The 13,864-nt window shown below is 38.9% G+C and overlaps 1 protein-coding gene across 16 annotated transcripts in view, besides 1 other annotated feature; it reads right to left on the bottom strand.

Annotated features, from left to right (window-relative positions):
• The window catches only part of MAP3K7CL (MAP3K7 C-terminal like), a 98,774-nt gene that overhangs the window by 6,246 nt on the left and 78,664 nt on the right, over positions 1-13,864 (bottom strand). For all 16 annotated transcript variants that reach the window (XM_047440930.1, NM_020152.4, NM_001371374.1 and 13 more), the window contains one exon: positions 9,586-9,701. In XM_047440930.1, the coding sequence (XP_047296886.1) occupies positions 9,586-9,701 (116 nt within the window). The remainder of the gene's footprint in view (positions 1-9,585; positions 9,702-13,864) is intronic.
• Positions 4,980-5,274: a silencer, noted in NCBI's record as "tiled region #14833; HepG2 Repressive DNase unmatched - State 12:CtcfO". NCBI's record gives its function as "represses a minimal TATA promoter and a strong SV40 promoter by Sharpr-MPRA in HepG2 cells {active_cell/tissue: HepG2}" and the evidence as "EXISTENCE:reporter gene assay evidence [ECO:0000049][PMID:27701403]".

Raw genomic sequence — 13,864 nt, 5'->3', positions numbered from 1 at the left:
AAAGTTAACTAGGGACTTTTATTTGGGAAAGGCAAAATTCTAGACAGTTTGGCCCCAGTGAGCTAAAGAATTTGGGGAAATAATATAATAAAATACCTTTATCATAGGGAGAATTTTACTTTTAAATAGGGATTTAGACTGTATTGTTGGTGGATCTTGAGAGACTTATGTCTGAGTAAAAGCATTCATACGCAGGACAGAAGGAGTCAATGCCTCAAGATGACAGAAAGGATGTCAAAGTCTACCTTCATTTTATCCAGGTGGAGGAATAATAAATGATACTGAACTGAGATTTCCAATGCTCAGTCTAGACTATGTTGTTGAAGCTGTACAAATGCTTAATGCATGAAGAAATGTACTAATATCTATTGGGAAGCAAAGGGCAACACTGCACCCGTGCAGGAGGAAGTCAGACTTGCTCCAAAGCAGGATTTCTCATCCTTGGTACAACTGACATTGTGGGCCAGGCAATTCTTTGTCGTTGGGCACTGTCTATACATTGGCGTTGTAGGAAGTCTAGCAGCAACCTTGGCCTCACTCACTAGATGTCAATAGCAAACCTACACTCACCAACCAAAAATGTCTCTTAAGTATTGCCAATGTAGGGTGGGGCAGGTGTGGAGAATTTCCTGATTAAGAACCACCACCTAAAGGAAGTGGAGATTCCCACTATCAATCAACCTGACAAGAATTAATCCTGGGACAGGAAGAAAGTGAACAGCAAAAGGTTTCTTCACTCTGCTACCCCAGAGATTGGATTTGAGCCTCTTTCCTCAGCAAGGGAAACCTACTTAAAAGAGCTCTCACTGAGAAGAGTAAATATGCTGTCCCTTTTAACCCACTTAATGCCTGAGGTTGCAATTTTTTGAATTTGAAAAATCAGATCTTGGCAATGACCTTGAGCAGTAGGATATAAATAACTCCCACATTTAGTGTTCCAATAATGGAACACTAGGCATAAATTTAATATAGTTTCGGGCAGACAATTAGGTGTAGAAATACTTGGGAATGAAATTCCCATTAAATGACTGGGCTGCACCTAATTATGTGGTGTAAAATACCCAAATCATTGTGATTGGGGCATTAACAGCTTAAACTCACAGCCTGATGGCATCTGGGATACTGAAATTTCACAAAAACCTAAGTACTAAAATGAAAGAATACCTTTGGCTACATCTCTGTCTCCATAAACAAAGTAAAGAACTGAGGCAGGCCTTTGCTCTTCTACTCATTTGCTCAGCAAGTATTTATTGAAAGTCTGTTACAAGCCAGGCACCGTCTTCTATTCTTGCTAGCCAAGTCAGTCTTGGGAAGTGCATCTCCACAGCTGGAAAATGAACTCAAATCTCATATCTTACCCAGAAGGCATCTTACTCATATCAGACATCATAGGAAAGAGAAGATAGAACTTTTCCCCACATTACTATATATCCTGCAAACACTTGTGGAGAAATGTCTCCATTTACTGTGTATTTATGTTAATGAAAATGTAATTTCTGGAGGCTGAGTAAATATTTAAGAAAAATATCTTAGGTATATAAAAGTGAGGTTTGGTTTTCAGTGTTACCCTGCTGTGGAATCCTTTTGCAAAGAAAGTCATACCCTGAAGGGATGCAAATAAAAGGGATAAAATTGGTCCTTCTCTGCCGGGCGTGGTGGTTCACAACTGTAATCCCAGCACTTTGGGAGGCCAGGTGGGCGGACCACGAGGTCAGGAGATCAAGACCATCCTGGCTAACATGGCGAAACCCCATCTCTACTAAAAATACAAAAAATTAGCTGGGTATGGTGGCGGGCGCCTGTAGTCCCAGCTACGTGGGAGGCTGAAGCAGGAGAATGGCATGAACCGGGGAGATGGAGCTTGCAGTGAGCCGAGATCGCGCCACTGCATTCCAGCCTGGGTGACAGAGCAAGACTCTATCTCAAAAAAAAAAAAAAAAAAAAAAAATTGGTCCTTCTCTGGTTGATCTTGGTACAGTCCCCTGCCTGACACCCTCTCCCTCCCGAATCTGTGAGAGACTCCTCAGAACACAGTTTAAAAGCCTCTCCCTTTGGGAATATCCTAAAGAAATAAATCCTTCTGGTTAAACATAAAAAAAAAAACTTAAAATCTCCTGTTATTAGAAATCTCAGAATAAATATGACTAAAAACAAATCAAAATTGCACTAATTTTAATTTATGCCTTTGCAAATTACATATGCACCCTTTTGCCCCATCCTGATATGTTCCCCTAGATGAGATGTTACTCCCCAATCATCATTTTATACATTTTAAAAAGACATGACAATATAAGTCTCACATTGATTTTGATAGCCTCATATGAAAACCCCTTTCTGATGTTTTGCCTGAACACACTAAAATTATGTAACATTTTTCACCTCAGAAACAAAAAGACAACCAAATTAAAAAATGGGCAAAAGATCTTTGAGATATTTCTCCAAGAAAAGATAGAAATGGCCAATGAAGCACAGGAGAACCTGTGTAACATCATTAGCCATCAGAGAACTGTAAATCAAAACCACAATGACATATTGTTTCACACCCACTACAGATGGCTAGAATCTAAAAGGCACAAGAAGTGTTGGCAAAGATGTGGAAAAATTGGAACCTTGATACACTGCTGGCAAGAATATAAAATGTCAACCCGTTTGAAAACAATCTGGCAGTTCCTCAAAAGGTTACACATTGAGTTATAATATGAGCCAACAATTCTACTGCTAGGAACCTACTCAAGAGAATTGAAAACATAGGTCTACCTCAAAAATTGTACACAAATGTTTATAGCAGCGTTATTCACAATAGCCAAGAAGTGCAAACAACCGATTAAATGTCCATTAGCCTATGAAAGGATAAAATATTATATATTCATACAATGGAATATTATTCAGCAATAAAAAGAATGAAGTACTGATGCATGATACAAAGTGGATGAACCTTAAAAACATTATACTAAGTGAAAAAAGCCAATCACAAAAGATTACATATTATATGATTCCATTTGTATGAAATGTCCAAAATAAGCAAATCCATAGAGACAGAAAGTAGATTATTGGTTGCCAAAGTCCAGAAGTCAAGGGTCAGTGGGGCGTAACTGCCAAAGAGTGCCAGATTTATTTCTGGGGTGAAGGAAATGTGAAGTTGGTGATGGTTGCACAACTCTGTGAATATACTGAAAACCACCGAATTGCAATAGCCAGGGTATAGGATCAACCTACGTGTCCAAGTGTCCATCAGCAGAAGAATAGATTTTTTAATGTGATATATCTATACAATGGAATACTACTCAGCCATTTTAAAAAATGAAATCCTGTCATTTGCAACAACATGGATGAACCTGGAGGACATGATGTTAAATGAAATAAGTGAGGCACAGAAGGACAAAGACCACACAATCACGCTCCTATGTGGAATCTAAAAAAGTTGATCTCATTGATGTAGAGAGTAGAATAGTGATTACCAGAGGTTGGGGAGGGTGGTAGGAAGAGGGGTATGGGGAGGGGTTATTCAGTGAGTACATAGTTACAGTTAGACAGGAGGAATAACTTCTGGTGTTCTCCTGCACAGTAGGGTGACTGTAGTTAACAATGATGTACACTTCAAAATAGCTAAAAGAGAGGATTTTGAATGTTCTCACCACAAAGATATGACAAATGTTTGAGGAGATGAATACGCTAATTACACTGATTTGATCATTACACAATGTGTCCATGTATGAAAACATTACACTAGACCCCATAACTAAGTACAATTACTACATGTCAATTAAAAACAAATAAAACTGGCCAGGCGCATGGCTCATGCCTGTAATCCCAGCACTTTAGCAGCCCGATCACTTGAGGCCAGGAGTTTGAGACCAGCCTGGCCAACATGGTGAAACCCTGACTCTACTAAAAATATAACAATTAGCCCAGAGTGGTGGCACACACCTGTAATCCCAGCTACTCGGGGAGCTGAGGTAGGAGGATCGCTTGAACCTGGGAGGCAGAGGTTGCAGTGAGCCAAGATCGCACTGCTGCACTGCAGCCTGGGAGACTGAGCAAGACTGTCTCAGAAAAATAAAATAAAATAAAATTGTTTATAAAAATATATATAACATGAGGATGCAAAGACATAAGGATAATACAATGGACTTTGGGGACTCGGGAAAGGGTGGGAGAGGAGTGAGGAATAAAAGAATATACATTGTGTACAGTGTACCCTGCTTGGGTGACAGGTGTACCAAAATCTCAGAAATCATCACTAAAGAACTTATTCATGTAACCAAGCACCACCTGTGCCCCAAAAACATATTGAAATTAAAAAATAAAAATTAAAATGAATAAATAAAACATTCTTCAATCTGACTTTTCTAAGAGTCTGTCTATTTTTCTGACATTTCAGTTAATCTTCTAAACACCAAAGTACCCAATACAATATTTCATACCAAAAAAATAAATAAGTGGTTTCTCTACTGGATGAGATAAAATGCTTTATCTGGAACAAAGCAAACTTTACAGTTGATTGTAGCTTAATAATATACTTTTAAAAATTTCTGTCAAACAATTTGGTAATAGATTTCATTTTTTTATTTTATTTTTTCTAAATTTGGTGATAGATTTCAAAAGCCATAAAATGTCTATATCTCATTTCAATGACTTTCATATTACATACACAAAAAGCTAGGTATGTTGTAGAAAAATGCTTATAATATTTACGGAAAAAATCATGTTATACATTCCACGTTACTGTATATGCAATTATATTAAAATGTCTATTCACATGCAAAAGGCCTAGAAAGAATTAGATAAAAATGATAGCAGGAGTTCTTTAAAGATATCAGAATTCTTGGTAATTTTTCAAAGCTTTCAAGAAAGTCCTTCCCACCTTTTTCACACGGAGAAGAAAAAAAAAATCAGTAAAAATATAACAAACCTCTCGTACATCATTGGTCATAAGCCAGAAGCGATTCTTTAAATTGGATTCAGCCAATGCTGAGTTTATAATCCTAGAAAATGTTTGACTCTCTTTCTCCATCCAACAGATATGATTTAAAATAACAGTTTCAGCAACTCTTCTCATCACGCCTCTTAAGACAAATTCTCCCAAACTTGATCCAGGGAGACCTCCTCTGGAGATGAGAGAGAAGTTCAGTTTGGAGTTCAAACCTTAAGCAGTGTCTGAACGACTCCAATAAAGAAAAACTGTCTTTTAAAATACCTTAGTTAGCGTCTCTCTTTGCATCTAGCTTACGCCAGCCAAGCTAGAGGCAACATAATCAGCTACACTTTATGAAATAATGAGAAAGAAATTCTCAACAGAATCATCAAAAAATGGAGAGCTAACTACTTGGGTCAAATTCACTTGGCCCAATATATCTTGCTTGAAAATAAAGACTGTTTGGGAAAAGACATGTTGCAAAATGAATTTCCACTTCAGTAAAGTCTTAATGAAAATAACGATCATTAACAATCCTTGGAAAACCAAGCTCATGTATTTATAAATATAAGATATTACCATATTTCCCAATTTAACAATGTATCCTAGCAGTTTGTTTTTTTTTTTTAAATGGAGTCTCGCACTGTCACCCGGGCTGGAGTGCAATGGTGTGATCTAGGCTCACTGCAACCTCCACCTCCCGAGTTCGAGCAATTTTCCTCCTAGCAGTCCTTTATTGCTGATATTGACTCTGTAATACCAGCACTTTGGGCGGCTGACGTGGAAGGATTGCTGTAGGTCAGGAGTTTGAGACCAGCCTGGGCAACATAGCAAGATGCCATCTCTTTAAAAAAATTTTTTTAATTAACTGGGCATGCTGGCATGCACCTGTCGTCCCAGCTATTCAAGAGGCTGAGGTGGGAGAGTTGCTTGAGCTCAGGGGGTTGAGGCTGCAGTGAGCTATGATTGCATCACTGCACTCCAGCCTGGGTGACAGGGCAAGACTTTGTCTCAAAAAAAAAAAAAAAAAAAAGGAAGAAAGGGGCCTGTTAGGCCAAGAGCTTGGTGTGAACAGGGGCTCAGTGACTGGAGGACCCACCTCCTGCCCCGGGAGAAGTGAGGAGGCCAATGTAGCTGAAGTTGAGGGATGAGATTGGAAGTTCTACAGAGGTTCCAAGGCATCCCCAGGGAGGTCTTGAAATCTATGCCAAGAACTGGCTGTCATTTTCTAGCAACAAGAAACCCTAGGCAGGGAAACTAGTTACAATATTGCATCAACCAAGATCTCAAGTAATAAGTCCCAAGCCCAAATGGTAGAAGTGAGAATGAAGAAAAAGGAACTTGAGACTTTACGAAAAAGAAAATATATATATAATGAAAGAATTTGGCCTTGGCCCTACATCTAGCCAATTATTTAGGGAGACACTTCAAGTACTTTGGGGAAGGAAACAAGATGAGTTCTGCAGAAACACACACAGGCATATAAGTAATTAAGGAGGGGGTCCGGCCCACTTGTATGTGGTCTGGAAGGTTGTATAAAATACCTCCACTAGCCTGCTAGCCATGTTACTTCTAGAAGTTGACTTTTCCTTTTTTTATTTTTTATTTTTATTTTTTTGAGACAGTCTCACTCCGTCACCCAGGCTGGAATGCAGTGGCGTGATCTTGGCTCACTGCAACCTCCGCCTACTGGGTTCAAGCAATTCTCATGACTCAGCCTCTTGAGTAGCTGCGATTACAGGCACGTGCTATCTACCACACCCGACTAATTTTTTTGTATTTTTAGTAGAGACAGGGCTTTGCCATGTTGGCCAGGCTAGTCTCAAACTCCTGACCTCAGGTGATCCGCCTGCCTTTCCTCCCAAAGTGCTGGGATTACAGGTGTGAGCCTCTGCGCCTGGCCCCTTTTTTCATTTTAATATTGTTGTAGTGGTACCCAGAGTTATCATTGCTTTCAATGTAAACAGTAAGGATATGTTTCAAACATTAGATAGGAGTCACTCTCATGTCATTATCCTACCATATCATTTTTTTTTTTTTTTTGAGACAGAGTTTTGCTCTTGTTGCCCAGGCTGGAGTGCAATGGCACGATCTCAGCTCCCTGTAACCTTCACCTCCTGGGTTCAAGCGATTCTCCTGCCTCAGCCTCCCGAGTAGCTGGGATTACATGCGCCCACCACTACACCAGGCTAATTTTTGTATTTTTTAGTAGAGACAGGGTTTTGCCATGTTGGCCAGGCTGGTCTCGAACTCCTGACCTCAGGTGATCTGCCTGCCTCGGCCTCCCAAAGTGCTGAAATTACAGGTGTGAGACACTGCGTCTGGCCCCTACCATATTTTTTTTAATGCAACATAAAAAAAACTTACAGAACATGTAATTTAGGGGATGAGTATTGCATTTCCAAAAAAAAAAAAGCTACACATAAATTTAATTTAAATAACAAAGTCCTCCAGTACCTTCAGTCTGAAGAGTTTATAAATAGAGACATAATTACTGAGGATTTTTCTATCATACCACCACACTTCACACACACACACCAGAAGATACATTTACAGGCTATTCGTCATATAGATCTTCTTTGACTTCAATATGGATCACATGATTAATAATCCTCAATTCCTTCATGAAATTTTTTGTAGGACTCCAACTGTGTGTAATCATGCAATCTGAGTATTCCAAGCAACTTTATCAAAACTCTTAGAACAAAAAGAAAATAGTCAGACATGGAAGAGAAAATTTGTATTTGTGACCTCCTAATAAACATCTTTTAATCCCCTGTAGCCAAAAGTCTAGATACAATTTTATGTTTGAAGCATGGCAAACCAAGCAAGGAAGGAAGGGTTTGTAAGGTACTAACTGAGGTTTTGCAGAAGTCTGGCCCCAAAACCCATACTGTCCACCATCATGCTATACTGTCCGACCACCATTCTGGGAGTCTCAAAAAAATTGTAAGGATTTCACAAACTTCTCAACACAAAATATATTTCATTCGCTTTTTGTAAAAATTAAATTTTGTGTGTGTGTGTATTTTTATTATACCACCACACTTCACATACACACACCAGAAGATACATTTATTCACAGGCTATTGATTATATAAATCTTCCTTTGACTTCAATACTGGTCACATTATTAATAATCTTTAATTCCTTTATGAAATTTCATATCTATATTAATGAAAATAATAATCATTAATAACCCTTGGAAAACCAACCTCATGTATTTATAAATATAAGATATAATCATATTTCCTAATTTAACAATTCATCTTAGCAGCCCTTTATTGCTGATATTGACTCTGTAATACCAGCACTTTGGGAGGCCAAGGTTGGAGGATTGCTTGAGGTCAGAAGTTTGAGACAAGCCTGGGCAAGATAACAAGATCCCATCTGTAAAAAAAAAATTGTTTTTTTTGAGATAGAGTCTCACTCTGTTGCCCAGGCTGAAGTATAGTGGCACGTGATCTCAGCTCACTGCAACCTCTGCCTCCCAGGTTCAAGCGATTCTCCTGCCTCAGCCTCCCGAGTAGCTGGGATTACAGGTGCCCGCCACCACACCCGGCTAATTTTTGTATTTTTAGTAGAGACAGGGTTTCACCATGTTGGCCAGGCTGTTCTCAAATCCTGACCTCAGGTGATCTACCAGCCTCGGCCTCCTAAAGTGCTGGGATTATAGGCGTGGGCCACTGCGCCCGGCCCCCACAAAATATTTTTTAATTAGCTGAGCATGGTAGCATGTTTATTTCTTCTCCCCTTCCTTTTATTAGGGTGACACGTGATATATAAGAAATAAAGAATCACAATATGTTTGTGTTCTGTTTCACACATCAACAATAATTTACTCAGCCTCTAGGTGCCACATATCATACCAGGCTCCAGGAATCTGATGGTGACAACACCTGACTATCAGTGCTTTTATGGCACTTACCACCTAGTAGGAGATGTAATCAAAAGGAGATCTAATCAAAAGATCCTAGTAATCAAGATATCTCGTTAATAAATGGGAAATCCCAACCAGCTAGTACTGTGAAGGAAAGGTGTCTACTCTGAAGCTTTGCAAGTATAAAAGAATGGGATTCACTGGGGTAGGCACTGGCGGAATCAAGTGCAATTAAAAAGAAGGATCCAGAAACAAAAAGTTATGAGTGAGTAAAATCAGAATGCTTTAATTAATAGAACTGTATAATTCCCTATAGCAGAACTGTAATAGTAATAAAAGCTATCAAGATAAAAACTTACCCTACTATAAAATGTAGTCAGTCAACTAAAACGTTTACATTATTTTGAAGAGCTATCCCAGTGGCTTCTTCACGTGATGTGGGAATGCCATCATTTAAGCAGAAATTAAAATTCACACCAAGCCACAGTGCTCTGCAGCCTCTGGGCACATTTACGGAAAACATAGTGTGGTTTTGGGTGGTATTTTGGCATTTTTAATTTCATGAACTAAAATGTCTTATTTAAAAAATTAAGTTTTGAGTAGGAAGCATTCCTGGTATTCCTTTTGCTACTCCATAAAGCACTTAATCTCCAATAGCACCACTTGAATCATTGCTGTAACCCCCTTGCCTCCCTGTCATCCTCACACTCAGCCTGTCCCCTGCCCATTGCCCCTGGTCCTTGCCCAGTAGGCAGTGCTCAGATGTAGAGTGAGGGGGGTAGGTACTTACTTCCTTTGCTCAAGCAGGGTGATTTCCTTTTTGACCTCATGGTATTCTTCTGCTATTTGGCAGTGCTGTTTGAACACCTCCATGGATTCCTCGGAGTCATGACAAGGCGGCAGGGGCTTCACAAACAACAAGAAGAAATTAGTCCATTTCTTTGCATCAGGATAAATTACCAACCATTTTGCTCGCTGATGTTCTTTAAACGAAGGTTTTTTCTTCTTCTTTTTTTTTTTTAACGTGAGAACAGCATTGTCAGTCAACATTCAACAGAGTTCAGCTGATTCTATTTGACTGAAAATAGAGAGGTGGACAGATAGTCTCCACATTCATCTCCCAGTGTCATTCATGGGCATCTCAGGCCTGAGCCAGAGCCCTGAAATCCATTACATGTCAGTTACCTGCCTTGTGATGGAGTAAAAATAAGTCTCCAAAGGATTCTACCGTACTCCCCGGAAATCTTAGACTTTGCTTTAGAGAAGAGCAGTGGTGGGGAAATAGTTCAGTTGTCTGTTTCAATTATCCCTTGCTTTCTGTTTCTGTAGCCAGGAGGTATAATCTCATCTTGCAGAGTAGAGAAGAAAAGCTCTCTTCTGAGAAATGCATTTGGGCTAAAGAAAGATGCTGAGCCAGAAATAATGCTTGCAAGGATTAAGCAACCTGTAAGAAAGGCCGGATCTCCCTCCCCCTAAAAAAAAACCATCCCTATAAGATTCATGTTTCTCTTTTTCTCCCATCCATGAAAGAAGCAAAGGCCAGCGTGGCAAGCCTTTCTGACCGCAACATGGTGAAAACCCTACTTCTAGGAATTATTTTTAAAGAACGAGTTTTCCCCAAGTTTATTTTTCTAATTTCTTGTTTAGCAATGCGTGATTAAAAGTACTACTTTTAGGCCAGGTGGATCACTTGAGGCCAGGCATTCGAGACCAGCCTGGTCAACGTGATGAAAACCCATCTCTACTAAAAATACAAAAATTTGCCAGGCATGGCGGGGCCCACCTGTAGTCCCAGCTACTTAGGAGACTGAAGCAGGAGAATCGCTTGAACCCAGGAGGTGGAGGTTGCAGTGAGCCGAGATCATGCCACTGTACTCCAGCCTGGGTGACAGAGTGAGACTCCATTGCAAAAAAAAAAAAAAAAAAAAAGTACTACTTTTAGGAATACTAGTTAAGAGTTTTTTTTTAAATCACCCTTTTCAATTATATATAGAAAAAAGTAAATAAAATCTGAGAAATATCAGTTTATTGTGAAATAGGCTCTTCAATCTTATCCTTTCTTCACAATGGTCTCTCTCTATATATAAACTATGTATCTGACAAGGTCATATTGTCACTAATTTTATATTAGGAAATTGAGAACTAATGAATTTTTTACTATTTGTTCCTCTCATTATATTCTTCAAGGACACAGATTTCTGTGGGTGTCATATTTATTTCTGTGATCCCTCCCATGATGTAATAGAAATTCAATAAAGTTTACTGTCTGATTGATAGATAAGATGACATTCCCTATGTATCATGAGGCCTCTGAGTAGAGATGTTTAAAGGAAATAAAATTCTAAATAGATTTAGGTCAAATTTACCTTCACGTGGAACATCTGTTATGTCCCAGTTCATGGAAAATCTCATAATAATCATATTAGGTAGCACCTTTCTCTGCTGCCCATGAACACATTCACAGCATAAACTCAGACTGTTGGAACCATCATCCCTTTCTATACGGGATTCAATTGAAAAATAACGCACAGTAGTACTACAGTATAACTCGCCCCATGAGATAAAGCTATTGCCAAAGGAATTCAGAACTCCTGGCTCCTCCAGTCTGTGCCCCAGAAATCGCTACCCACTCATCAATTTTCACCTGTTACACTGGCAACTTACCAGGTATAACAGTAAGGGGAATGAAAGCAATTTATTCTGGGCACCATAGCCAAGCTGTTGAATCATCTGTGCCCTGTTAAAGGATTTGCCTCCTGGAAGGCCCTAAGACTCTACACATCAGATCCTGTCCTTACAAACACCACACAGGCTATACTCAGTTGAAACAAGAGCTCAGTACGTGTAGGTACCTGAACCATGAATTCAGCACAGTTAACTATGTGGCAGCGAAAAAGTTCTAGAACTCTACATAAAGGATTCACAACTTTAAGATAACATAGAGAGCAGCCGTGTAAAGGGAGATATGTCTTTTGCTGCTGTAATTTAAAAGGAAAACTGAAAAGTACATTAATAACTTTCTTAAGAAGGGAGAGGCCTTCCCTGCCTCACCCCCAGCTTACCACCTGTAATGATTTTTACTAAGTGGGAAATGTTGTCATTTGTTCTTTTTTTACTACTGGCACCTCTTAATTGTGGGAAATTCAAGATGTTGTTATCTATAGGTAGAGCGATCATGCCACTAAGCATATGTGATGATAGGTAGTACATATTTCAAGATATCCACACGTGCTTTCAGCAGCATGATCATGCTATCTATACATAATAATATTTTCAAGACTTCCCATCATAAAGAAGGGACAATCAAAAAAGAATAAGCCTAAAATACTTTGTATCCAGTTTTCAGGGAGTACAAAGATTCCAGGGGTCACTTCAGCCTCTGGATCCTAAAAACTAAGCCTTCAACTTGACATAAAACTCAGCACCACTTCAAATGTTCCAAGTTTGTATGAAAACATTAAAGAGCAATATAGATTTCTATTTTTTAAGTAAAGAGGAAGGTTATATTGCATAACCCACCAAAACATTGTAAAATTCTCTCATTTGTTGCCATAGGAAGAGGGAAATAAGGAATTGTTGTTTAATGGGTACAGACTTTCTATTTTGCAAGATGAAAAAGTTCTGGAGATCGGTTGCACAACAATGTGAATATACTTAACACTACCAAACTGTACACTTAGAAATGGTTAAGATGGTAAATTTTACCATATGCGTTTTTACCCATAATAAGAAAAAAATCAATGCAAAAAAAATTATTTCATTAAACCTTTCTGCTGTCTCTAGCCCATCTTCTAAGCAGTGCTACCAGGGTTACCTAGGAGAGGCTGACTCCATTTGTACTCAATCTTTTGCTCTTTCCCAAATTTCTCCCCAGAGAACTTCAAATTTCTCACCCCTTTATAATCTCGAGCCATTCACTGGTAACCCCAAACATTGTTGAGCAAATCAAAGTGCTCTCCGGTCAACGGAATCTACTGTTCTTAGAGGGCAGTTGACATCATTGGCCATTTACCCCAGCCAGGAAACTGATCAAAGAATTTGCTTAAATATATATGGTTCTTGTCCCAGCAGGAATTCTGGTGAATACAAGTATTAAGATATTCAGGTTTTATACCTAATACAAAAAGTGGCACTATAGAATAATGTGATGTGTTGTTCCATGTAGGATGGAATAACTCTCATTGCTTTGTGATATAATGTGTGTATGTATGTTGTATCATCAGGTCCTGACTGAGGGTAATCCTCTCTTACCTTACCTTTTGAGAGGTAATCCCTCAAAATAAGAGACAATATATGGCCAACAGTATTAATCAAACACAAGCTTCTGCCTGAGGAAATCGATTCTTAGAATTCAAGAATCAGGTTTCCAGTTTAAAAATGGAGTGTCAGTACGCTTAAGTAACATGACATGTAAAACACTGGCACTCATGAATTAACTGGCTGTACGTGGGTTTATGTAACACATGCTCAAATTAAAAACTGTAAAATAACTTAAAAGAATACCTGTGGGTAACTAGATGAGAAAACATCTATTAACTTCTTGGAATAAAAGAAACACTATTTCAGTTCTCATTGCTTGATTTTGACTATTCTTGTCAGAGAGATTTTCATAGTTATAAGCCCATGCTGGGAATGGATGTACGATAAATAAACTCTTAATGTTGATAGTTAATTATTTTTCACATCAGGAGGAAAAAAATTCCCTTGTTATTTTCTCCACAATGATGCTACATCCTCCAATTTTGGATACACTTATCCCACCTTCCTGCTTAAAGAATGAAATATTGCACTCCAAAGAAAAGGAATCCAAAGATAGTTGAGTTGATAAATTGAAGAATAAAGATACTGCTAATGTACTAGAGCACAAATTCTGTGCGGTCACAGCAGCAGCTTTTCAGATGCACTCCCTGCCATCGTATCTGGTTTACTATACAACGCAGCCAGTTCTTAGGAGGTGAAATTAACACCTTCTCCTAACAGCGCCTCAAGCCAACTTTGAAACACATGTTTCCAAGACACAGACTGGGGCTTGGGTGAGGTCACAGCCCAGGAGGAGATACTTCCTCCTC

The sequence above is a fragment of the Homo sapiens genome, chromosome 21, assembly GCF_000001405.40.
Source record: "Homo sapiens chromosome 21, GRCh38.p14 Primary Assembly".
Taxonomy (NCBI): Eukaryota; Metazoa; Chordata; class Mammalia; order Primates; family Hominidae; genus Homo; species Homo sapiens.
The sequence above is the reverse complement of the archived record's forward strand: the minus strand, read 5'-3'. Positions and strand labels throughout refer to the sequence as shown.